The sequence below is a fragment of the Homo sapiens genome, chromosome 19 (assembly GCF_000001405.40).
Source record: "Homo sapiens chromosome 19, GRCh38.p14 Primary Assembly".
NCBI classification, from domain to species: domain Eukaryota; kingdom Metazoa; phylum Chordata; class Mammalia; order Primates; family Hominidae; genus Homo; species Homo sapiens.
The window spans coordinates 55,751,780-55,775,857 of record NC_000019.10 but is presented as its reverse complement, the minus strand read 5'-3'; the positions used below and the strand labels follow the sequence as shown (position 1 = coordinate 55,775,857).

The following is a 24,078-nucleotide window of genomic DNA, read 5'->3' as shown; positions in this document are numbered from 1 at the left end:
TGCATGTTGTACATTAACACCCTTTGAATTTCCACAGTCGACCCACAAGAAAGCACGAAAAGATAACTGCCCATGCCCATGGACTTTCCAGACCTCCCTTTTCCTTCCATCAATTACTTACTGATCTCAGAATCCATCCCCTGAACCTTTTTTAATCACCCAGGCTGGAGTGCAGTGGTTCGATCTCGGCTCACTGCAGCCTGAAACTCCCGGGCTCAGATGATCCTCCTGCCTCAGCCTCCCCGAGTAGCTGGAACTACAGGCCTGCACCACCATGTGCAGCTCATTTTTGTGGTTTTGGAGAGGGGGGGGTCTCACTGCGTTGCCCAGGCTGGTCTCCTACTCCTGAGCTCAAGTGATCCACCTGCATCTGCCTCCCAAATTGCTGGGATTTTAGGCATGAGACACCATGCCAGGCCCTCTGAACCTTTTCTAATAAATGCTGACATGAAGCCAGTATGAGACGACAGATTAGAGCTGGACTCCTGTCTCCCTAGGGTTTTCATTTCAATGCAATGCTTTCCTTTTCTCAAACATCCCCATGTCATCCTATTCACTCCTAGAGTATTGGACAGCGAATCCCTTTTACTCGATAATGTTGGCAGAAGAATAGATCAAGAAATTGTGCTATATATACAATGAAATATCGTACACCATAAAAAAATGGATGAAACTTGAGGGCATTTTGCTAAGTGGAATAAGTCATATAGAAAGCGATAAATACCGAATGACCTAACTTACTAGGAACCTAAAAACACTGAAGTCATAAAATTAGAGAGTGGAATTAAAATGGTGATTGTAAATGAAAGACCTGAAATGGTAAAACTATCAGATCAAAACACAGGGGGAAAGATCTAAGAAATTTGTCTGGGCAAACTTGTTTTTTGATATAACCACCTAAATCACAGGCAACAAAAGCAAACATAGACAAGTGGGATCGCATCACATGTAAAAGCTGCTGCACAACAAAGGAAACAATAAGTTGAAGAGACAATCTACACAGTGGGAGAAGATATTTGCAAACCATACATCCGATAAGGGGTTAATATCCAGAATACATAAGGCACTCAGGCAAGACAACAAATAGGTGAATTAAAAAGTGGGCTAGGATGGGTATATAGTTTCAATTTTGGAAGATGAAAAGATTTCTGGAGATGAATGGCAGTGATGGTGGCAAAATAATATGGACATCATAAATACCATTGAATTTTACACTTAAAAATGGTTAAGATGGTCAATTATATATACTTTACCACCATTTGTTAAGAAATAAAAGACTGAATGAAAATGAATAGTATTCTGTGGGATCATATCAAGTGATACGGTTTGGCTCTGTGTCCCCAGCCAAACCTCATGTTGAATTGTCATCCTCAGTGTTGGGGGAGGGACCAGGTGGGAGATGATTGGATCACGGGGACGGATTTCCTCCGCGCTATTCCCATGACCGTGAGTGAGTTCTCAAAGATCTGATGATTTCAAAGTGTATGGCACTTTCCTCTTTCTCTCTTTCCTGTCACTATGTGAAAAAGCCACTCGCTTCCCCTCTGCCTTCCTCCATGATTGTTAAATTTCCCGAGGCCACCCAGTGATGTTCCCCGTGCGACCTGCAGAACTATAAATTAATGAAACCTCTTTTCTTCATAAATTACCCAGTCTCCGGTAGTTCTTTAGAGCAGTGTGAGAATGAACTGTTACAGAATATTGGTACCAGGAGTGAGGCACTGCTACTATGGTACCTGAAAATGTGGAAGCGACTTTGGAACTGGGTAACGGGCAGAGGTTGCAACCGTTTGCAGGGCTCAGAAGAAGACAGGAAGATGTGAGAATGTCTGCAACTTCCCAGATACTTGTCAGATGGTTTTGATCAAAATGCTGACAATTGAATTGCTCTTAGTGAAGTAAGTTCAAGTAGAAATTAAGGTGATTGATTACGATATTTTCTTCCTATTATGAGTTTCTCACTGAGCTTCAACCGCATCTAGAAATTTTGTAAATGTGTGCTTTTCATTCAACTCAGGATAGCTGTAATTTCCATTGTAATTTCATATTTGATCATTTTATTTAGAAGTGGTTATTTAATTTGCATATATGTGGAGAATTTATGGATTTCTTCCTGTTATTGATTTCCAATTTGACTCTGTTGCCGTCATAGGAGAGGGTGTATTGTATTTCAATTTTAAAGCTAACGAGTTCTCTCTAAGACCACACATATTCGTGGCAAACACTCAGTGTGCACTTGAAATGAATGTCAGTGTTCAGTTATTGGGTTAAACTGAATACATGAACATATATAATTTTGCCGTATTCATAGGTCCTTATCATTTGAAATTCAGTTACTGTGTTGGGTCACATTCAAATTATTATTTCGTTCATAACTTCCATAACACACAGTACACTAATCTTGCAGCAAATAGAAAAGATTGGCAAATGAATCTGAATTTTCAAAATATTTATTGAACAGAAATATAAACATAAGCCCCAAAGAAAACAACATGACAAACTTTAAGTACAATGTAATTTTCCCCTCATTAATATAATTGCTTTCTGTTCATGGTTTACAGAGTGATGGCTCTTTCCCTTCTGTCCCTTTGTACCTATGTGTATCTAGCGGAAAAGTTCTTAGCTATGGCTATGGGGGCACTGAAACTTCCTAAAGATGATTATGTTCAAATGTTTATTTACTTTCCCTCAGAAGAAACTGGGGCACTGGCAGTGGATGGATTGATCACAGAACAGATACTCAGGATGCTCTGATCATCTTGACTTCCACGTTTATGAGCAAAAAATGGACGCCAGGGCTCGCAAACAGGAATCTCGATGAATGTGTTGATATGGCACCCATCACTAACATTGTAAAAGGCAATGGACCTCATACCTACATCCAGGAAAATCCCCACTCTGTGCAACTGGGGACTCACCCAGAGAGGAGTCATAGGCACAGTGCTGGCAGCAAAGACCTTTCCTTCTCTGCAACCCACAGTCAAGAAGCCGTGTTCTGAAGAAAGCTCAATCTTCCCCTGTCGGTTGACAGATTCCTTGCACACGCCCACATCCCACACTTGGCTGGTGCCCACGTCCACCTCCCAGTAATGGCGGCCGGAAGTGAAGCGAGGGGTGCCCAGGACGCACAGGGCAGTGTCGAACCTCTCAGCTTGCTCCTTCCTATTCTGGCTCAAATCCCCACTTCGGAAACTCCTCAGGTCTTCAGAAATGATGAGATAGTTGTTGGCTGTGTCCACATCGAAGGTCATATCCACTGTGCAAAGAAGAACCAGGAGTTCAGCAAAGACACACACTACAGACTCCCTCTGCCCTTTGACTGCAAACACTTAAACACATTATTCACTTTTACTTTTATTCTACTTTCTTTCCCAAATCAAAATTTCCTGGGGAAACTTGTTTGGCCACCTGATGAGGTTAAATTGTATCTATAGGTTGCATGAATATGATCATTGTAACAAGTCCACCTTATTCATATTAGAAATGCCTTTCGAAATAAGTTAGTGGATAATTTGATGAAAATTAGTTTTCCATTTAGCACATATGATACATGAAAGAAGACAGTAGCTTGCTCTCCAAAGTATTCTACAAACTTGCACAGATTCCATGAAAATCTCTACGCAAAGGTGAGAACTGCTGTTGTTTGTGAAGCATGGAAGTTTTAGATGCTAGATATCCTGCTAATGCCTATGTTTAATGAAGAAATGTTTGAAAGTCGTTTTCCCAGTGCCTTTTATGGGTTGTGGCAGGTCCTATAGATTCCTTACCTTGAAACTTCCTCATCCTTGGGTTCATTGTTAGAACAGATTTCAGCTTGGGCTCTAGTTCCTTGATGATGGAAACCAGCGCCCTCAGCTTGTACTTGGGCTTGATGTCATCCTTCTGAGAGACCACAGAGCAGAAACGGCACAGTAAACCTTCCCCATCGGGCTCCTTCTGGAGTGAATTGAGGCACTGGAGGCAGCAGGCATATCCACATTTCAGTTGCACGGCTTCTTCAAGATCTTTTAGACAGACAGGACATCTAATGATCTGTTTGAAGTGCTCAGCCATGGCAAATGTCTGTAGAAAAAAAAATGAACACGGAATTAGAATTTCCACGAGCTGAATGAACAGCTGATAGTGTTTGGGGCTTTTATCTTTACATGCATGGAGCTATCATGGCACCATACTTTAAATCACTACTGCTAGTGATGAAGACACAACATGAATACAAATGTCAATGACTCGAGGCCCTGAACTTCTAATATCTGTAATACTCATTGGAATAAAGGGCATGATTCACCGAAAGACTTTGAGTTGAAATAGTAAAGGAGTCTACACCTGGGCTGTTTCATATGGTAGCCACCAGTGACAAATGGCTATTGAGACCTGAAATGGGGCGTATCTGAATGGAGATGTGCTGTGAGCCAAATACACTCCTCTTTGTGAAGACGTAATGGGGAAAAGAGAATGTAAACTATCTGCTTGAGAAGGTTTCAAGTTGCTCACATCTTAAATGATTATATTCTGAGTTAAAATTCATTAGGCTTGTTTTGTTCTATTTTATGTGACTACCAGAAAATGAATTTACAATTACATATATGGGTTATCTTAAGATTCTATTGGACAGTGCTGGAGTCCATTTGAAGACCTTCTACTTCCCCAACTGTGCAAACTGCATGTGGTGAAAACCCTGATAGCACACCAAAAGGACAAGACACAAAATACAAATAAGTCGTACCAGGTAAAACTGAATCTTCTGCATAGCGGAAAAAAAAAAAAAAAAAAACAAAAAACAGAACTAAAAGAAACCAAACAAGCAGCCATATATATGACAATGGATTAATATCCAAAATATATAAGGAATATTTTCAAGGCCGTAGCAAAAAGAAAAAAAAGCCAAAATAATCCAAATTCCAATGGGCAGAATCCTGAATAGACATTTCTCTGAAAAGCACACACCAACGACCAGCAAGTACTGAGGAACAAGCTCAACCTCACTCACCATCTGAGAAATGCAATTTAAACTGAGGCAGGAATACTGTGTGGTCGCAAGAGAATCGAGAACGTATCCAGTGACAATTTCACATGAGACCAAAACAGTGGCTTTTAAAATTAGCCACTTGTCATTAAAATTACAAGGACAAGGAGGAACCTGGGCTCATGAGGTGCTAAAAAACCGGAGGGAGTTAAGCTGTTTCAAAGCATTGCCACAGTAATGACCGTGGTCATTACCACACTAAATCACACACTCTGCAGTGTCACGGCTGACCCCAGCATGCCCATATGTAGTACAAAAATGGGTACCTCACCAATTCTAAAAAATCTCTGCTTTTTTCCTACAAAACCTAATGATTAGTTCACCTCCTAATTAGAAGGACTGACAAAAATAGAAACCCCAAACTCCTTTGAACGCCACCAGCTTTCAGAATCACGCCCACACTTCTCTCCTAACAGTGTGCTTTTGCTCTGGAATAGAAACTTCTTGCCTTTCACTTCATTCTGGCTCATCCCTGAATTCGTTCTCCCGACAGCATCCAGAACCTGGAAACTGGCTGGGACTGGGTTCTCTCTGGCATCCAGAGAGCCTCCTGAGCCCTCCAGCAATAAAACCGCGATGAGATATTACCCCCTCTCTGCTAGGATGGCTATGATCAAAAAGACAAAAGATAAGTGTTGGTAAGGATGTGGAGAAAGGGGAACCCTTGTGCACGGTTGGTGGGAAAGAAAATTGGTACAACCACTACAGAAAATAGTAGGGAGGTTTCTGAAAACATGAAGAATAGAACTGCCTGTGTTCCAGCAACCCTACTTCTGTGTTTCTATGTGAAAGAAAGAGGTCAGCATATCAAAGAGATATCTGCACTCTTAGGTTCTCTGCAGCATTATTCACAACAGCCATGGAAACAACCCCAGCGTCTGTGAGAGAAAAATAGATGAGGAAATGGTGATATATACATTGGATTATTCTACCATAAAAAAGAAGGCAATTCTGGCATTGCACCAATGTGGATGAAGGCCGAGGGCATGATGGGAAGTGAAATAAGTGAGGCTGAGGGAAGTAAACACTGTATGATCTCAGTTATGTGGAATCTGAGTTGACTGATCTCATAGAATCAGAAAATAGCCACTGCACTCCAGCCTGGCAGACAGAGCGAGACCCTGTCTCAAAACAATTAAAGAAATAATGAATCCCCATCCTGGAAGAGGTGGGTCCCAGCATCTGGCCAGATCTTTTCCACAATAGTAATTTAAACAAACGTTGCTTTTCATTTCCTTCCCTTTCTCCTTCTGAATTAAAAGGAACAAAAAACTGAACAAAAAAAAAATCAGAAAATAAGAGAAGAATGATGGTTGCCAGGGGTTGTGGGAAGGGGAGAATAGGAAAACAATACCAAACCCATAGGAAAACCTGACGTTGAGTAACGCAGCCACCGAACCTCTGTCCATCATTTCAGAAAGTCTACCAAATTCTGATGAAATTCAAGCAAATGGAGATTGTCAAGTCTCTTGCCTTGGTATTGAAAATCTAAGAGTTGCCTAACCGTTACCAGGGCAGAGGTCCCAATATCCTCCAGAAATACAGTGTGTCTGTCATGGAGTTGGCCTCAGACAACACTTGTGGAATCAAGACATTATTGCATTCCCCTAGATTCTCATACGCCTTTTGTAAAAATGAATTCCATAAGATTGAACTCACCTCTCCTTCTGGAGTTTCTCCCCTGGCCTCCAGCTGCTTCTGCGGACAGCTCAGATCTGGAGTGAGAGCTGCCTGCCATGGGCTTTTATACGAGAGGGTCTCTCCACCCACCTTAGCCACACCCTTTCCCTCCTTTTTAATCTAATCAGATTCTGATTTCATTCTGCCATCATTGAGATTGTTACTATTGGACAGGTTTTTACCGTAAAGGAAGACGACTGTGTTTTCAGTGTTATTTTTTAATTAACAAGGACAAAATATTGCCATGTAATAATTTTTAGATAAGATCTTGAATATTATGCCTATTGGTTAAAATTTGGAAATTAATTAAAATTAATTAAAATCGTAAAATTTGGGGTGACATTTAAAATTCCTCTAAAATGAACGGTGCGACTTTCAAAGAGTTTTCTATTATAAATGTCACACCTTTTCACATTTCAATAAAAGAGGTGAGTTAAACCTACTCAGAAGTCGTTACTAATAGGACACTCCACAGACCACACTCAACTCTCAAAATCATTTTCTCTATAATGTAAAGATTCTAATTAAGAAGCTTAGGAAAGAAATCCCAAAACGGTTTCCAGACAATCAGTCAGCCAGTGAAAGTCCGTTTTTCTTTTTAGTTGCAGCATCTAAAATGAAAGTTAAAAGTTACTGTTACAATCTATTTCCCTTACATCACAACATAAGTAAAATGAGATTCATTTCCTCTTTAAAAATGTTCAAAAACGGGTTCCTCATGTATTAAATATATTATAGGTGATCAGAGTTCATGGATAAGAATGTAAAAGTGGGAGACTGGAGGTCAGGTGGGAAAGGATTTGATTACATTAATGTGATTAAATTAATAGTCTTTAATTTAATCATCTCCACAGTAATCATTCTCTAGCGATTGCTAGATTCTCTTCTTTCCTATTCAAAGCCAAGGCAGTTCTCAATTCCTTTTGTCTCATGAAGGCAAATGGAGAAACACAAATCTCTACGTTGTGGTGCATATATTAGATGAAATCCTTGCACACTGCATTTCTTCATTGATTGGGACCTATAATATAATCTGCCACATGTATGTCCATGTATACACACATACCGTATCTACACATATGCATGCAGGGAGAAAATGCTTATCTCTTCTTGCATAATTCTAATTGCTTTATTTTCTCATATAAATCCTTTTAAAATATACTCACATTTCTGGGAGCAGTTATTCTCCAGCTTGTAATTTTATGGGCCCATGTTCCTGGAGCACTGATCCCTCACATCTTTTAATTTTTATCTGCTTTCCGTAAAGCTTGAACAAAATTTATGTTCTCTTTGGGAATACCAGGTGGCCTCAGTTGTGGAAAGCACCGAGCCCAGTGGGTTGATTTGCCTCTCTAATATTCTCCCAAAATATCTTACAGCCTGGAATTGCATTCATGCTCATGTCTTGGGAGAGGAGTTCTTCCGTTTAGAATTAGAGAATAGCGTCTTAGGATTGCTGGCACACTGGTGGGGTTGGTTTGGCTGTTAGATACTTTCCACATCTTTTCCAATTGCATCTTTTCACAGAAAGCAGCTCCGCTGGCTTCTATTCAGACAGTGGTAAAGTTTCCTTGCCCGCTCTCATGTACAGTTCAGTACTTTGAGGGTTTTCTGTGTTTGAATAAACCTGTCCTTCAACATCCCAGTCAGCGAGGGCTGTATTCTCCATGCCCCGTCCCTGCAGGTGTGTCACAGAAGCAGACGTAAATGGTTGGCTTCGGTGGCTTCCGATCCCCAGGCCCTGTTCACTGTACAAGCAGACTTTTCTTTTTCTTTTTTTTTAATTATACTTTAAGTTCTGGGGTACATGTGCAGAACGTGCAGGTTTGGTACATAGGTATAGATGTGCCATGTGGGCTTGCTGCACCCATCAACCCATCACCTGCATTAGATATTTCTCCCTAATGCTATCCCTCCCCTAACCCCCCGCCCCCCGACAGGTCCCAGTGTGTGATGTTCCTCTCCCTGTGCCCATGTGTTCTCATTGTTCAGCTCCTACTTATGAGTGAGAACATGCCGTGTTTGGTTTTCCAATCTTGTGATAGTTTGCTGAGAATCATGGTTTCCAGCTTCATCCACGTCCCTGCAGAAAACATAAAGTCATCCTTTTTTATGGCTGCATAGTATTCCATGGTGTAGATGTGCCACATTTTCTTCTTTAACAATGAAGAGAAGCTCAGAGTTTCTCACAACCCAGGGCTTGGCTCAGTTTCCAAAGGAAACTGTCATCCTTTCTCTCATTGTCAGTGTTGGTACGGCAAACGGATTTGAGGTGAACCCGGACATTGTGGTCTCACCCTGAGCCACTGCCCAGCACGTGGCCCCACCGTCAGTCCAGCCGGGACATGGATGAGGTGGCTCAGAACCAGGCAGGTCATGTTATTGCCCAACCGTGGCTCTGAATTTTTTTCTTCATGATTCCTTAGGTTCTGTGTTTTGTCCAGGATATAAGGAAGCACTCACGTGGGTCGTCTAGTCACCAAGTTCTGTGAGGAGAAGTGTCAGTCAGGATGACCTGAGACCACAGAGGAGAAAAAACGGAACTCTTGCAAAATACTTTCATTAAGTCCAAACAAAACAAAACAAAAACAGAAAACCACAGCCCACAAGTATAACAATAAAAAACCTGTGAACTTTGAGAATCTGATCTGCATCTGCCACAGAACACTTCCAATTTACAACAAAATAAATGAGGCACACAAAGAGAACCGAATGTCTACAAGTCACAAGATGAAATAAATGTGCTCAAGACCTTGGGCTTCCTCTCTACAGACTAAATTACTTGTCGAAGGAGGACCAAAAGAACTAAAGGAAACAACAGACAAAGAACTGAAGTAAATTAGAAGAGTAACACCTCACAAAATAGAAAATATCAATAACCAAATAGAAATTTTAAAAATGAACTAATTAGAAATTGAGGGGCATAAAGGAAAATAACTGAAATGAAAACTCACTACAGAGATTCGACAGAAGTTTTTCCACCTTTTTTGTTTTTATAAATGTTATTAAAATCTAATTCAAGGCAAGTGAAATTGTCACTGCCGATGACACCATCTTATATAGAGAAAACCCTAAAAACTCCAACAAATTCTGTTAGGACTGATAAATGAATTCAGTGAAGGTGCAAGACACAAAATCAACAAACAAAAATTCTTAGCATTTTTATGAATTGTAAATAAACCATCTAAAAAAGAAAATAAAAAATAATTCCGGGCCAGGTATGGTGGCTCACACCTGTAATCCCAGCATATTGGGAGGCCAAAGTGGGCAGATCACTTGTGGTCAGGAATTCGAGACCAGCCTGGCCAAAATGGTGAAACTCTATCTCTACCAAAGAGACAAAAATCAGCTGGGCATGGTGACTGCTACCTGTAATCTCAGCTACTTGGGGGCCTGAGGCAGGAGTCTGCAGTGAGCTGAGATCGTTGCACTGCACTCCAGCCAGGAAAACAGAGAGAGACTCTCTCTCCAAATATCATAATAATAATTCCAATTAAAATAACAATAAGAAAATCAAACCCAAGAGTAAATTCAGTAAAGAAGGAGAAAGACCTGTACAATAAAAAGTATAAAATAGCAATGAACAAAATTGACAAAAACACAAATAAAAGGATATCTCATGTTCACGGATTAGAATTAATATTGTTAAAATGTCTATACACTCAAAAGGATCCGCACATTCAATGCAATCCCAATCACAATTCTCATTTTTCACAGAAAAAGAGAAAAAAGTCCTAAAATTTGGGTGAAGCCACAAAAGACCCCAAATAGCTAAAACAATCATATGCAGAAAAATCTCACAGCTGTAGACATCACACTACTTGATTTCAAAATATATTATAAAACTAGTATAATCAAAACGACATGCTACTAGAATAAAAACAGCCGTTTCTACCAATGAAACAGGAATGAAACCTCCCATATAAACCCGCGCACATGTGGCAAATTGATTTTTGACAAAGGATCCACAATACGAAATGGGGAAAGTACAGCCCCTTCAATAAATTGTGCTCGAAGAACTCATCCACATATAGAAGAAGGCAATTGTATCTTTACATCAAACTGCATGCATGAATCAACTCAAAACGGAGAAAAGAGTTAAATGAAAGACCTGAAATGGTAAACCTATCAGATCAAAACACAGGGGGAAAGATCTAAGAAATTTGTCTGGGCAAACTTGTTTTTTGATATAACCACCTAAATCACAGGCAACAAAAACAAACAGAGACAAGTGGGATCGCATCACATGTAAAAGCTGCTGCACAACAAAGGAAACAATAAGGTGAAGAGACAATCTACACAGTGGGAGAAGATATTTGCAAACCATACATCCGATAAGGGGTTAACATCCAGAATACATAAGGCACTCAGGCGAGACAACAAATAGATGAATTTAAAAGAGGGCTAGGATGGCTATACAGTTTCAATTTTGGAAGATGAAAAGATTTCTGGAGATGAATGGCAGTGATGGTGGCAAAATAATATGGACATCATAAATACCATTGAATTTTACACTTAAAAATGGTTAAGATGGTCAATTATATATACTTTACCACCATTTGTTAAGAAATAAAAGACTGAATGAAAATGAATAGTATTCTGTGGGATCATATCAAGTGATACGGTTTGGCTCTGTGTCCCCAGCCAAATCTCATGTTGAATTGTCATCCTCAGTGTTGGGGGAGGGACCAGGTGGGAGATGATTGGATCACGGGGACGGATTTCCTCCACGCTATTCCCATGACCGTGAGTGAGTTCTCACAAGATCTGATGATTTCAAAGTGGATGGCACTTTCCTCTTTCTCTCTTTCCTGTCACTATGTGAAAAAGCCACTCGCTTCCCCTCTGCCTTCCTCCATGATTGTTAAATTTCCCGAGGCCACCCAGTGATGTTCCCCGTGCGACCTGCAGAACTATAAATTAATGAAACCTCTTTTCTTCATAAATTACCCAGTCTCCGGTAGTTCTTTAGAGCAGTGTGAGAATGAACTGTTACAGAATATTGGTACCAGGAGTGAGGCACTGCTACTATGGTACCTGAAAATGTGGAAGCGACTTTGGAACTGGGTAACGGGCAGAGGTTGCAACCGTTTGCAGGGCTCAGAAGAAGACAGGAAGATGTGAGAATGTCTGGAACTTCCCAGATACTTGTCAGATGGTTTTGATCAAAATGCTGACAATTGAATTGCTCTTAGTGAAGTAAGTTCAAGTAGAAATTAAGGTGATTGATTACGATATTTTCTTCCTATTATGAGTTTCTCACTGAGCTTCAACCGCATCTAGAAATTTTGTAAATGTGTGCTTTTCATTCAACTCAGGATAGCTGTAATTTCCATTGTAATTTCATATTTGATCATTTTATTTAGAAGTGGTTATTTAATTTGCATATATGTGGAGAATTTATGGATTTCTTCCTGTTATTGATTTCCAATTTGACTCTGTTGCCGTCATAGGAGAGGGTGTATTGTATTTCAATTTTAAAGCTAACGAGTTCTCTCTAAGACCACACATATTCGTGGCAAACACTCAGTGTGCACTTGAAATGAATGTCAGTGTTCAGTTATTGGGTTAAACTGAATACATGAACATATATAATTTTGCCGTATTCATAGGTCCTTATCATTTGAAATTCAGTTACTGTGTTGGGTCACATTCAAATTATTATTTCGTTCATAACTTCCATAACACATAGTAAACTAATCTTGCAGAAAATAGAAAAGATTGGCAAATGAATCTGAATTTTCAAAATATTTATTGAACAGAAATATAAACATAAGCCCCAAAGAAAACAACATGACAAACTTTAAGTACAATGTAATTTTCCCCTCATTAATATAATTGCTTTCTGTTCATGGTTTACAGAGTGATGGCTCTTTCCCTTCTGTCCCTTTGTACCTATGTGTATCTAGCGGAAAAGTTCTTAGCTATGGCTATGGGAGCACTGAAACTTCCTAAAGATGATTATGTTCAAATGTTTATTTACTTTCCCTCAGAAGAAACTGGGGCACTGGCAGCGGATGGATTGATCACAGAACAGATACTCAGGATGCTCTGATCATCTTGACTTCCACGTTTATGAGCAAAAAATGGACGCCAGGGCTCGCAAACAGGAATCTCGATGAATGTGTAGATATGGCACCCATCACTAACATTGTAAAAGGCAATGGACCTCATACCTACATCCAGGAAAATCCCCACTCTGTGCAACTGGGGACTCACCCAGAGAGGAGTCATAGGCACAGTGCTGGCAGCAAAGACCTTTCCTTCTCTGCAACCCACAGTCAAGAAGCCGTGTTCTGAAGAAAGCACAATCTTCCCCTGTCGGTTCACAGATTCCTTGCACACGCCCACATCCCACACTTGGCTGGTGCCCACGTCCACCTCCCAGTAATGGCGGCCGGAAGTGAAGCGAGGGGTGCCCAGGACGCACAGGGCAGTGTCGAACCTCTCAGCTTGCTCCTTCCTATTCTGGCTCAAATCCCCACTTCGGAAACTCCTCAGGTCTTCAGAAATGATGAGATAGTTGTTGGCTGTGTCCACATCGAACGTCATATCCACTGTGCAAAGAAGAACCAGGAGTTCAGCAAAGACACACACTACAGACTCCCTCTGCCCTTTGACTGCAAACACTTAAACACATTATTCACTTTTACTTTTATTCTACTTTCTTTCCCAAATCAAAATTTCCTGGGGAAACTTGTTTGGCCACCTGATGAGGTTAAATTGTATCTATAGGTTGCATGAATATGATCATTGTAACAAGTCCACCTTATTCATATTAGAAATGCCTTTCGAAATAAGTTAGTGGATAATTTGATGAAAATTAGCTTTCCATTTAGCACATATGATACAAGAAAGAAGACAGGAGCTTGCTCTCCAAAGTATTCTACAAACTTGCACAGATTCCATGAAAATCTCTACGCAAAGGTGAGAACTGCTGTTGTTTGTGAAGCATGGAAGTTTTAGATGCTAGATATCCTGCTAATGCCTATGTTTAATGAAGAAATGTTTGAAAGACATTTTCCCAGTGCCTTTTATGGGTTGTGGCAGGTCCTATAGATTCCTTACCTTGAAACTTCCTCATCCTTGGGTTCATTGTTAGAACAGATTTCAGCTTGGGCTCTAGTTCCTTGATGATGGAAACCAGCGCCCTCAGCTTGTACTTGGGCTTGATGTCATCCTTCTGAGAGACCACAGAGCAGAAACGGCACAGTAAACCTTCCCCATCGGGCTCCTTCTGGAGTGAATTGAGGCACTGGAGGCAGCAGGCATATCCACATTTCAGTTGCACGGCTTCTTCAAGATCTTTTAGACAGACAGGACATCTAATGATCTGTTTGAAGTGCTCAGCCATGGCAAATGTCTATAGAAAAAAAATGAACACAGAATTAGAATTTCCACGAGCTGAATGAACAGCTGATAGTGTTTGGGGCTTTTATCTTTACATGCATGGAGCTATCATAGCACGACACTTAAAATCACTACTGCTAGTGACGAAGACACAACATGAATACAAATGTCAATGACTCGAGGCCCTGAACTTCTAATATCTGTAATACTCATTGGAATAAAGGGCATGATTCACCGAAAGACTTTGAGTTGAAATAGTAAAGGAGTCTACACCTGAACTGTTTCATATGGTAGCCACCAGTGACAAATGGCTATTGAGACCTGAAATGGGGTGTATCTGAATGGAGATGTGCTGTGAGCCAAATACGCTCTTATTTTTGAAGACATAATGGGGAAAAGAGAACGTAAACTATCTGCTTGAGAACGTTTAAAGTTGCTCACATGTTAAACGATATTATATTTTGAGTTAAAATTCATTAGGCTTGTTTTGTTCTATTTTATGTGACTACCAGAAACTGAATTTACCATTACATATATGGGTTATCTTATGTTTCTATTGGACAGTGCTGGAGTCCATTTGAAGACCTTCTACTTCCCCAACTGTGCAAACTGCATGTGGTGAAAACCCTGATAGTGCAACAAAAGGACAAGACACAAAATACAAATAAGTCGTACCAGGTAAAACTGAATCTTCTGCATAGCGGAAAAAAAAAAAAAAAGGAAAAACCAGAACTAATGAAAAACAAACAAGCAGCCATATATATGACAATGGATTAATATCCAAAATATATAAGGAATATTTTCAAGGCTGTAGCAAAAAGAAAAAAAAGCCAAAATAATCCAAATTCCAATGGGCAGAATCCTGAATAGATATTTCTCTGAAAAGCACACACCAACGACCAGCAAGTACTGAGGAACAAGCTCAACCTCACTCACCATCAGAGAAATGCAATTTAAACTGAGGCAGGAATACTGTGTGGTCACAAGAGAATCGAGAACGTATCCAGTGACATTTTCACATAGGACCAAAACAGTGGCTGTTAAAATTAGCCACTTGTCATTAAAATTACAAGGACAAGGAGGAACCTGGGCTCATGAGGTGATAAAAAACCGGAGGGAGTTAAGCTGTTTCAAAGCATTGCCACAGTAATGACCGTGGTCATTATCACACTAAATCACACATTCTGCAGTGTCACGGCTGACCCCAGCATGCCCATATGTAGTACAAAAATGGGTACCTCACCAATTCTAAAAAATCTCTGCTTTTTCCTAGAAAACCTAATGATTAGTTCACCTCCTAATTAGAAGGACTGACAAAAATAGAAACCCCGAAGGCCATCGAAAGCCACCAGCTTTCAGAATCACGCCCACACTTCTCTCCTAACAGTGTGCTTTTGCTCTGGAATAAAAACTTCTTGCCTTTCACTTCATTCTGGCTCATCCCTGAATTCGTTCTCCCGACAGCATCCAGAACCTGGAAACTGGCTGGGACTGGGGTCTCTCTGGCATCCAGAGAGCCTCCTGAGCCCTCCAGCAACAAAACCGCGATGAGATATTAACCCCTCTCTGCTAGGATGGCTATGATCAAAAAGACAAAAGACAAGTGTTGGTAAGGATGTGGAGAAAGGGGAACCCTTGTGCACGGTTGGTGGGAAAGAAAATGGTACAACCACTACAGAAAATAGTAGGGAGGTTTCTGAAAACATGAAGGATAGAACTGCCTGTGTTCCAGCAACCCTACTTCCGTGTTTCTACGTGAAAGAAAGAAGTCAGCATGTCAAAGAGACATCTGCACTCTTAGGTTCTCTGCAGCGTTATTCACAAGAGCCATGGAAACAACCCCAGAGTCTATGAGAGAAACATGGATGAGGAAATGGTGGTATATACATTGGATTATTCTACCATAAAAAAGAAGGCAATTCTGGCATTGCACCAATGTGGATGAAGGCCGAGGGCATGATGGGAAGTGAAATAAGTGAGGCTGAGGGAAGTAAACACTGTATGATCTCAGTTATGTGGAATCTGAGTTGACTGATCTCATAGAATCAGAAAATAGCCACTGCACTCCAGCCTGGCAGACAGAGCGAGACCCTGTCTCAAAACAATTAAAGAAATAATGAATCCCCATCCTGGAAGAGGTGGGTCCCAGCATCTGGCCAGATCTTTTCCGCAATAGTAATGTAAACAAACTTTGCTTTTCATTTCCTTCCCTTTCTCTTTCTGAATTAAAAGGAACAAAAAACTGAACAAAAAAAAAATCAGAAAATAAGAGAAGAATGATGGTTGCCAGGGGTTGTGGGAAGGGGAGAATAGGAAAACAATACCAAACCCATAGGAAAACCTGACGTTGAGTAACGCAGCCACCGAACCTCTGTCCATCATTTCAGAAAGTCTACCAAATTCTCACGAAATTCAAGCAAATGGAGATTGTCAAGTCTCTCGCCTTGGTATTGAAAATCTAAGACTTACCTAACTGTTACCAGGGAAGAGGTCCCCTTATCCTCCAGAAATACAGTGTGTCTGTCATGGCCTTGGCCTCAGACAACACTTGTGGAATCAAGACATTATTGCATTCCCCTAGACTCTCATACGCCTTTTGTAAAAATGAATTCCATAAGATTGAACTCACCTCTCCTTCTGGAGTTTCTCCCCTGGCCTCCAGCTGCTTCTGCGGACAGCTCAGATCTGGAGTGAGAGCTGCCTGCCAGGGGCTTTTATACCAGAGGGTGTCTCCACCCACCTTAGCCACACCCTTTCCCTCCTTTTTAATCCAATCAGATTCTGATTTCATTCTGCCATCATTGAGATTGTTACTATTGGACAGGTTTTTACCTTAAAGGAAGACGACTGTGTTTTCAGTGTTATTTTTTAATTAACAAGGACAAAATATTGCCATGTAATAATTTTTAGATAAGATCTTGAATATTATGCCTATTGGTTAAAATTTGGAAATTAATTAAAATTAATTAAAATCGTAAAATTTGGGGTGACATTTAAAATTCCTCTAAAATGAACGGTGCGACTTTCAAAGAGTTTTCTATTATAAATGTCACACCTTTTCACATTTCAATAAAAGAGGTGACTTAAACCTACTCAGAAGTCGTTACTAATAGGACACTCCACAGACCACACTCAACTCTCAAAATCATTTTCTCTATAATGTAAAGATTCTAATTAAGAAGCTTAGGAAAGAAATCCCAAAACGGTTTCCAGACAATCAGTCAGCCAGTGAAAGTCCGTTTTTCTTTGTAGTTGCAGCATCTAAAATGAAAGTTAAACGTTACTGTTACAATCTATTTCCCTTACATCACAACATAAGTAAAATGAGATTCATTTCCTCTTTAAAAATGTTCAAAAACGGGTTCCTCATGTATTAAATATATTATAGGTGATCAGAGTTCATGGATAAGAATGTAAAAGTGGGAGACTGGAGGTCAGGTGGGAAAGGATTTGATTACATTAATGTGATTAAATTAATAGTCTTTAATTTAATCATCTCCACAGTAATCATTCTCTAGTGATTGCTAGATTCTCTTCTTTCCTATTCAAAGCCAAGGCAGTTCTCAATTCCTTTTGTCTCATGAAGGCAAATGGAGAAACACAAATCTCTACGTTGTGGTGCATATATTAGATGAAATCCTTGCACATTGCATTTCTTCATTGATTGGGACCTATAATATAATCTGCCACATGTATGTCCATGTATACACACATACCGTATCTACACATATGCATGCAGGGAGAAAATGCTTATCTCTTCTTGCATAATTCTAATTGCTTTATTTTCTCATATAAATCCTTTTAAAATATACTCACATTTCTGGGAGCAGTTATTCTCCAGCTTGTAATTTTATGGGCCCATGTTCCTGGAGCACTGATCCCTCACATCTTTTAATTTTTATCTGCTTCCCGTAAAGCTTGAACGAAATTTCTGTTCTCTTTGGGAATACCAGGTGGCCTCAGTTGTGGAAAGCACCAAGCCCAGTGGGTTGATTTGCCTCTCTAATAGTCTCCCAAAATATCTTACAGCCTGGAATTGCATTCATGCTCATGTCTTGGGAGAGGAGTTCTTCCGTTCAGAATTAGAGAATAGCGTCTTAGGATTGCTGGCACACTGGTGGGGTTGGTTTGGGTGTTAGATACTTTCCACATCTTTTCCAATTGCATCTTTTCACAGAAAGCAGCTCCGCTGGCTTCTATTCAGACAGTGGTAAAGTTTCCTTGCCCACTCTCATGTACAGTTCAGTACTTTAGGGGTCTTCTGTGTTTGAATAAAAACCTGTCCTTCAACATCCCAGTCAGCGAGGTCTGTATTCTCCATGCCCCGTCCCTGCAGGCGTGTCACAGAAGCTGACGTAAATGGTTGGCTTCGGTGGCTTCCGATCCCCAGGCCCTGTTCACTGTACAAGCAAACTTTTCTTTTTTTTTTTAATTATACTTTAAGTTCTGGGGTACATGTGCAGAACGTGCAGGTTTGGTACATAGGTATAGATGTGCCATGTGGGCTTGCTGCACCCGTCAACCCGTCACCTGCATTAGATATTTCTCCCTAATGTTATCCCTCCCCTAACCCCCCGCCCCCCGACAGGTCCCAGTATGTGATGTTCCTCTCCCTGTGCCCATGTGTTCTCATTGTTCATCTCCCACTTATGAGTGAGAACATGTGGTGTTTGGTTTTCCAATCTTCTGATAGTTTGCTGAGAATCATTGTTTCCAGCTTCATCCATGTGCCTACAAAGGGCATGAAGTCATCCTTTTTTATGGCTGCATAGTATTCCATGGTGTAGATGTGCCACATTTTCTTCTTTAACAATGAAGAGAAGCTCAGAGTTTCTGACAACCCAGGGCTTGGCTCAGTTTCCAAAGGAAACTGTCTTCCTTTCTCTCATTGTCAGTGTTGGTACGGCAAACGGATTTGAGGTGAACCAGGACATTGTGGTCCCACCCTGAGCCACTGCCCAGCACGTGGCCCCACTGTCAGTCCAGCCGGGGCATGGATGAGGTGGCTCAGAACCAGGCAGGGCATGTTATTGCTCAACCGTGGCTCTGAATTTTTTTCTTCAAGATTCCTTAGGTTCTGTGTTTTGCCCAGGATATAAGGAAGCACTCATGTGGGTCGTCTGGTTACCAAGTTCTGTGAGGAGAAGTGTCAGTCAGGATGAGCTGAGAACACAGAGGAGAAAAAACAGAATTTTTGCAAAATAGTTTCATTAAGTCCAAACAAAACAAAACAAAAACAGAAAACTACAGCCCGCAAGTATAACAAAACAAAAAAAAAAACCTGTGAACTTTGAGAATCTGATCTGCGTCTGCCACAGAAAACTTCCAATTTTCAACAAAAAATATATGAGGCACACAAAGAGAACCGAATGTCTACAAGTCACAAGATGAAATAAATGTGCTCAAGACCTTGGGCTTCCTCTCTGCAGACTAAATTACTTGTCGAAGGAGGACCAAAAGAACTAAAGGAAACAACAGGCAAAGAACTGAAGTAAATTAGAAGAGTAACACCTCACAAAATAGAAAATATCAATAACCAAATAGAAATTTTAAAAATGAACTAATTAGAAATTGAGGGGCATAAAGTAAAATAACTGAAGTGAAAACTCACTACAGAGGTTCGGCAGAAGTTTTTCAATTCTTTTTGTTTTTACAAATGTTATTAAAATCTAATTCAAGGCTAGGCACGGCGGGTCTTGCCTGTGATCCCAGCATTTTGGGGAGACGAGGCGGGTGAATCACTTGAGGTCAGGAGTTCGGCACCAACCTCGCCAACATGGAGAAACCTCGTCTCTACTAAACGTTCAAAAATTAGCCCGGCATGGTGGCACACACCTGTAATTCCAGCTACTTGGGAGGCTGATGCAGGAGAATCACGTGAATCCAGGAAGCAGAGGTTGCTGTGAGCCGAGATTGTGCCGCTGAACTCCAGCCTGGACGACAGAGTGAGTGAGACTCCAACTTGAAAAAAAAATCTAATTAGAATCAAACAATCTGTACCAATGTAATGTATAAATTTTGATTATTGTTATTTTTCTATTATAAAGACACATGCACGTACATGTTTGTCACAACACCATCCACGCTAGGAAAGACATGGAATCAACCTAGATGGCCAGGAGTGGTGGACTGGATAAAGAAAATGTGGCCCATATACACCATGCAATACTACACAGTCAAAGAATGAAATCATGTCTTCTCCAGTAACATGGATCCAGGTGGAGGCCACTGTCCTAAGTGAAATAACACGGGAACAGGAAAGCAAATATCACGTGTTCTCGCTTAGAAGTGAGAGCTAAGCATTGAGGTCACATGGACATAAAGAAGGGAACAAAGACACTGGGGGCAACTCGAGGGTAGAGGGTGGGAGGAGGGCGAGAATCAAAAAACTCCCTCTCACGTACTGTGCTCATTACCTGGGTGATGAAACTGTCTGTACACCAAACCCCTGAGGCATGCAGTTTATCATGTCACAAAGCTGCACATGTACCCCCATGAACCTAAAATACAAGTTGGAAGGAAAAGAAAAAAAAGAACTTAGTAAAGGAGGGAAAAAAAAACCCAAAACAACATATGGTTCAGGAACCAGCAGCATCAGCTGCTCTTGTCAGAAATTTCTGGGCTCTTGTCAGAAATCCTGAGTCTCAGGAGATCCCAGAGGTGTAGTACCAGAATGCACATTTTAATAAGATCCTCAGACAATTTAACAAATATTCAAGTTGTAGGCCAGTGCTGCCTGAAGAAATATAACATGACCCGCATGTCTCGTAAATGTACTAGTAGCTGCATTCAAAAACATAAAAAAGACCTGGTGAGATTAACTTCAGTAATATATTTCATTGAACCCGATATGTACAGAATAGCATCCTTTCCACTAGGTACCAGCTGCGTTTCTCGTGGTCCAGAGCCACTAGTCCCTACCCTGTTGGACAGCACAGGGCTAGGGCATGAGCTGAATATTCCATTTCCTTAAAAATCTCCAGGTGGTTCTATACTCAGAGGCAAGAACCACTGATGCTCAAAGGTGCATACAATGTTAGGAGCCAGAATCCTTCTAATATTAGGTGAAGAGGCTTTTGCCCAGTTGTTTTTCCCTAGGCCCTTTGTGGGGAGGGTCTAGGTGGGGCAGATACTTTACCTTGGAACTTCAGCATCCTTGGTTCAGCTGTAGAACAGATCTCAGGTGTGGCTCTAGTTCTTTGATCTCGGAAGCTGGCTTCCCCGGTTGACAGTTGATCTTGATCTCATTCTTCTGAGTGACCACGGTACAGAAAGGGCACCATACACCCTCCACTTTGGGGCTTCCTCTTCAGTGAATTGATGCAGCTGATGGATCTACATCTCAAGAATACAAGTTTCTCGAGACAGGCCAGACAGTTAAGACATCTTGCTTCTCACGAATGTTCAGCCGTGGCTGCTGCCTGGGGGGAAAATGTGCCTCTTCGTGGAGATTCCACGAGACGAATGAACTGGGGTTCTTTCACTTTAGGGATTGTGTACCTACTATGTGATATCCCTTGTACCAGGCAATACGGGTACAGACGTGAAGAGTCATGGCTGCTGACTTCTGAATTTCACATGCTAGCTGGAATGAAGAATATCGTTCATTATTCGACATAGAGTTGAAGTGGTAAAAAGGGTCTAGACCCGGGCTGTCCAATATGGTGGCCACCAACAGCATGTGGCTAGCAACCCGCTGAGATGGAGTTTATCTGAATGGAGACATACTGTGAGTGTAAAACACACACTAGATCGTGATGATGTTGGATGAAAAAGGTCGTCATTCATAGCTGTTTAATATTGGTTACATTTTAAAATGACAAATCTTTCGGATGTTAAAATTAATTCAACATGTTGCCTTCCATTTTCTTTAGTGTATCTAGAAAATTTATCATTACATATATGGGTCACAGTATATTTCTTATGAACAGCTCTGGTCTAGACTGAAAGACCCTCCGACTCCCCCCCAGCAGGTCTAATATGACTGTGGGAAAAACTAACGGGACCTGAGAAATTGAGTAAGTTAATGGCTGAGACTCAACTCACCAGCGTCCTGCAGAGTCTTTGAAGCTATGATTTGATTAAAGAAAATGAAGGCCCTTGTCAGTACACCAGCCTGGGTTTTGAAATTGAAGTCCTGCCAATACCTGCCAGGGCAGAGGGCTCAGTGCACACACTGTACCTGGCATGGAGTTGGCTTCACGGCTTCACACAACACTTGCTGAATTAATAAATTACCCAGTTCCCTGGACTTTGCTCTCTCTGCCCTTTGTAGAAATGTAAATTATATAAAATTGGATTTACCTTTCTTCCATTGTGGCTTTTTTTTTTTTTGGCTTTTTTTTTTTTTTTGGCTTCGAACCTTCTGAAATAATTTGGTTTTGGAGTGACATCCATGGGCAAGAGGCTTTTATTGAAGAGGGTACCTCTTCCCACCTTAATCACATCAGGCCACACCTTCTTAATCCAATCATATTTTAATTTAGGCAGAAATAAGAGTTTTACTAATGGTATATAGAGAGGTTACCACAAATGTTTTTGCTTAACGTGGAAACCCACATTTATTATGAATTCCTTCCTTCTGTCAATTTTTTTTTTTTTTTAGATAGGGTCTCACTCTGTTGCCCAGGCTGGAGTGCAGTGGTGCTATCTCGGCTCACTACAACCTCCACCTCCCAGGTTTAAGTGATTCTCCTGCCTCAGCCTCCCGAGTAGCTGGGATTACAGGCGCCCACCACCACGTCTGGCTAATTTTTGTATTTTTAGTAGAGAAGGGGTTTCGCCATGTTGGCCAGGATGGTCTCGAACTCTTGACCTCAATTGATTAACTCACCTCTTCTTATTTCCTTACTTTCTCCTACCTTCCTCAGCCTCTAATAACCACTACTCTACTCTCTAGTTCTGAGATCAAATTTCTTTTAGATTTCACGTATAAGTGAGACCATGGGATATTTGTCTTTTTGTGCCTGACTTATTCCATCTAACATAATGTCCTCCAGTCGTTAAGTGAAATAAGCCAGACACAGAAAGACAAACTTCCCACTTATCTGTGGGAGCTAAAAATTAAAGCAATTGAACTTATGGAGACAGAGTAGAAGGGTGATTACCAGAGGCTGGGAATCGTAGCAGAGGGGACTTGGCGGGGAAGTGGGGATGGTTAATTGGTATTAAAAAATAGAAAGAATAGGACTTAGGATTGGCTAGCACAACCTGTTGACTATAGTAAAAAATAACTTAATGTACATTTAAAAAATAACTAAAAGAGGCCGGGCGCGGTGGCTCACACCTGTAATCCCAGCATTTTGGAAGGCTGAGGCAGGAGAATCACCTGAGGTCAGGACTTCAAGACCAGCCTGGCCAACATGGTGAAACCCCGCCTCTACTAAAAATACAAAAATTAGCCAGGCACCGTGGTGTGCACCTGTAATCCCAGCTACTCAGGAGGCTGAGGCAGGAGAGTCGCTTGAATTCAGGAGGCAGAGGTTGCGGTGAGCTGAGATGGTGCCACTGCACTCCAGCCTGGGCAACAGAGTGAGACAGTCTTAAAATACAAATAAAAATAAACTAAATGAGTATAATTGGATTGTTTGTAACACAAGGGATAAATCCTTGAGGTGATGGATACTCTATACATTTTGATGTGATTATTACACATGGCAAGCCTGAACCAAAATATCTCATGTACCCCATAAATATATACCCCTACTCTGTACCCACAAAAACAAAAAAAAATGGAAAGACTAATGAAAAAACCCAGAATACCCTCCAGGTTCATCCGTGTTCTTACAAATAACAGGATTTCCTTCTTTTTAAAGGCTGAATAGTATTTCATTGTGTATATGTGCCACATTTTCTTTATCCATTCATCCACAGTCACATTTGAATTTTATGTCTATCGTTCCAGTCCTTAACAAACACAGTATGTAGATTTCAGAATTTTGTAAAGTTAAAGTTAAAAATAGAACAAAATGGCACGTACAGTGTTAGGATCATAAGCAACAATGCATTTCTGTAATGTATTTCTT

At 40.8% G+C, this 24,078-nt stretch overlaps 2 protein-coding genes and 1 long non-coding RNA gene across 4 annotated transcripts; all 3 read right to left on the bottom strand.

Annotated features, from left to right (window-relative positions):
- Positions 1-2,437: 2,437 nt before the first annotated feature.
- RFPL4AL1 (ret finger protein like 4A like 1) lies at positions 2,438-6,740 on the bottom strand. The gene is made up of 3 exons (NM_001277397.2): positions 6,683-6,740; positions 3,768-4,062; positions 2,438-3,256 (listed from the first exon to the last, which is right to left on the bottom strand). Exons 2-3 carry the CDS (start codon positions 4,051-4,053, stop codon positions 2,679-2,681), a joined length of 864 nt encoding a protein of 287 aa, NP_001264326.1. The 5' UTR covers positions 4,054-4,062; positions 6,683-6,740; the 3' UTR covers positions 2,438-2,678.
- A 5,696-nt stretch (positions 6,741-12,436) lies between these two features.
- Positions 12,437-18,564, bottom strand: RFPL4A (ret finger protein like 4A). Of its 2 annotated transcripts, XM_011526915.4 has the most exons (4): positions 17,870-18,564; positions 16,683-17,314; positions 13,772-14,066; positions 12,437-13,260 (listed from the first exon to the last, which is right to left on the bottom strand). In XM_011526915.4, the coding sequence occupies exons 2-4, from the start codon at positions 16,842-16,844 to the stop codon at positions 12,683-12,685; spliced, it is 1,035 nt and encodes a 344-aa protein (XP_011525217.1). In that variant the 5' UTR covers positions 16,845-17,314; positions 17,870-18,564; the 3' UTR covers positions 12,437-12,682. The 2 variants fall into 2 exon arrangements, with proteins under 2 accessions (XP_011525217.1, NP_001138486.1); NM_001145014.2 differs by lacking the exon at positions 17,870-18,564 and having other exon boundaries at positions 16,683-16,761.
- Positions 18,565-20,207: 1,643 nt separating this feature from the next.
- LOC105372465 (uncharacterized) lies at positions 20,208-22,246 on the bottom strand. The gene is made up of 3 exons (XR_936081.2): positions 22,100-22,246; positions 21,192-21,638; positions 20,208-20,553 (listed from the first exon to the last, which is right to left on the bottom strand). It is a non-coding gene; the product is annotated as an uncharacterized LOC105372465 (long non-coding RNA).
- Between the last annotated feature and the right edge of the window lie 1,832 nt (positions 22,247-24,078).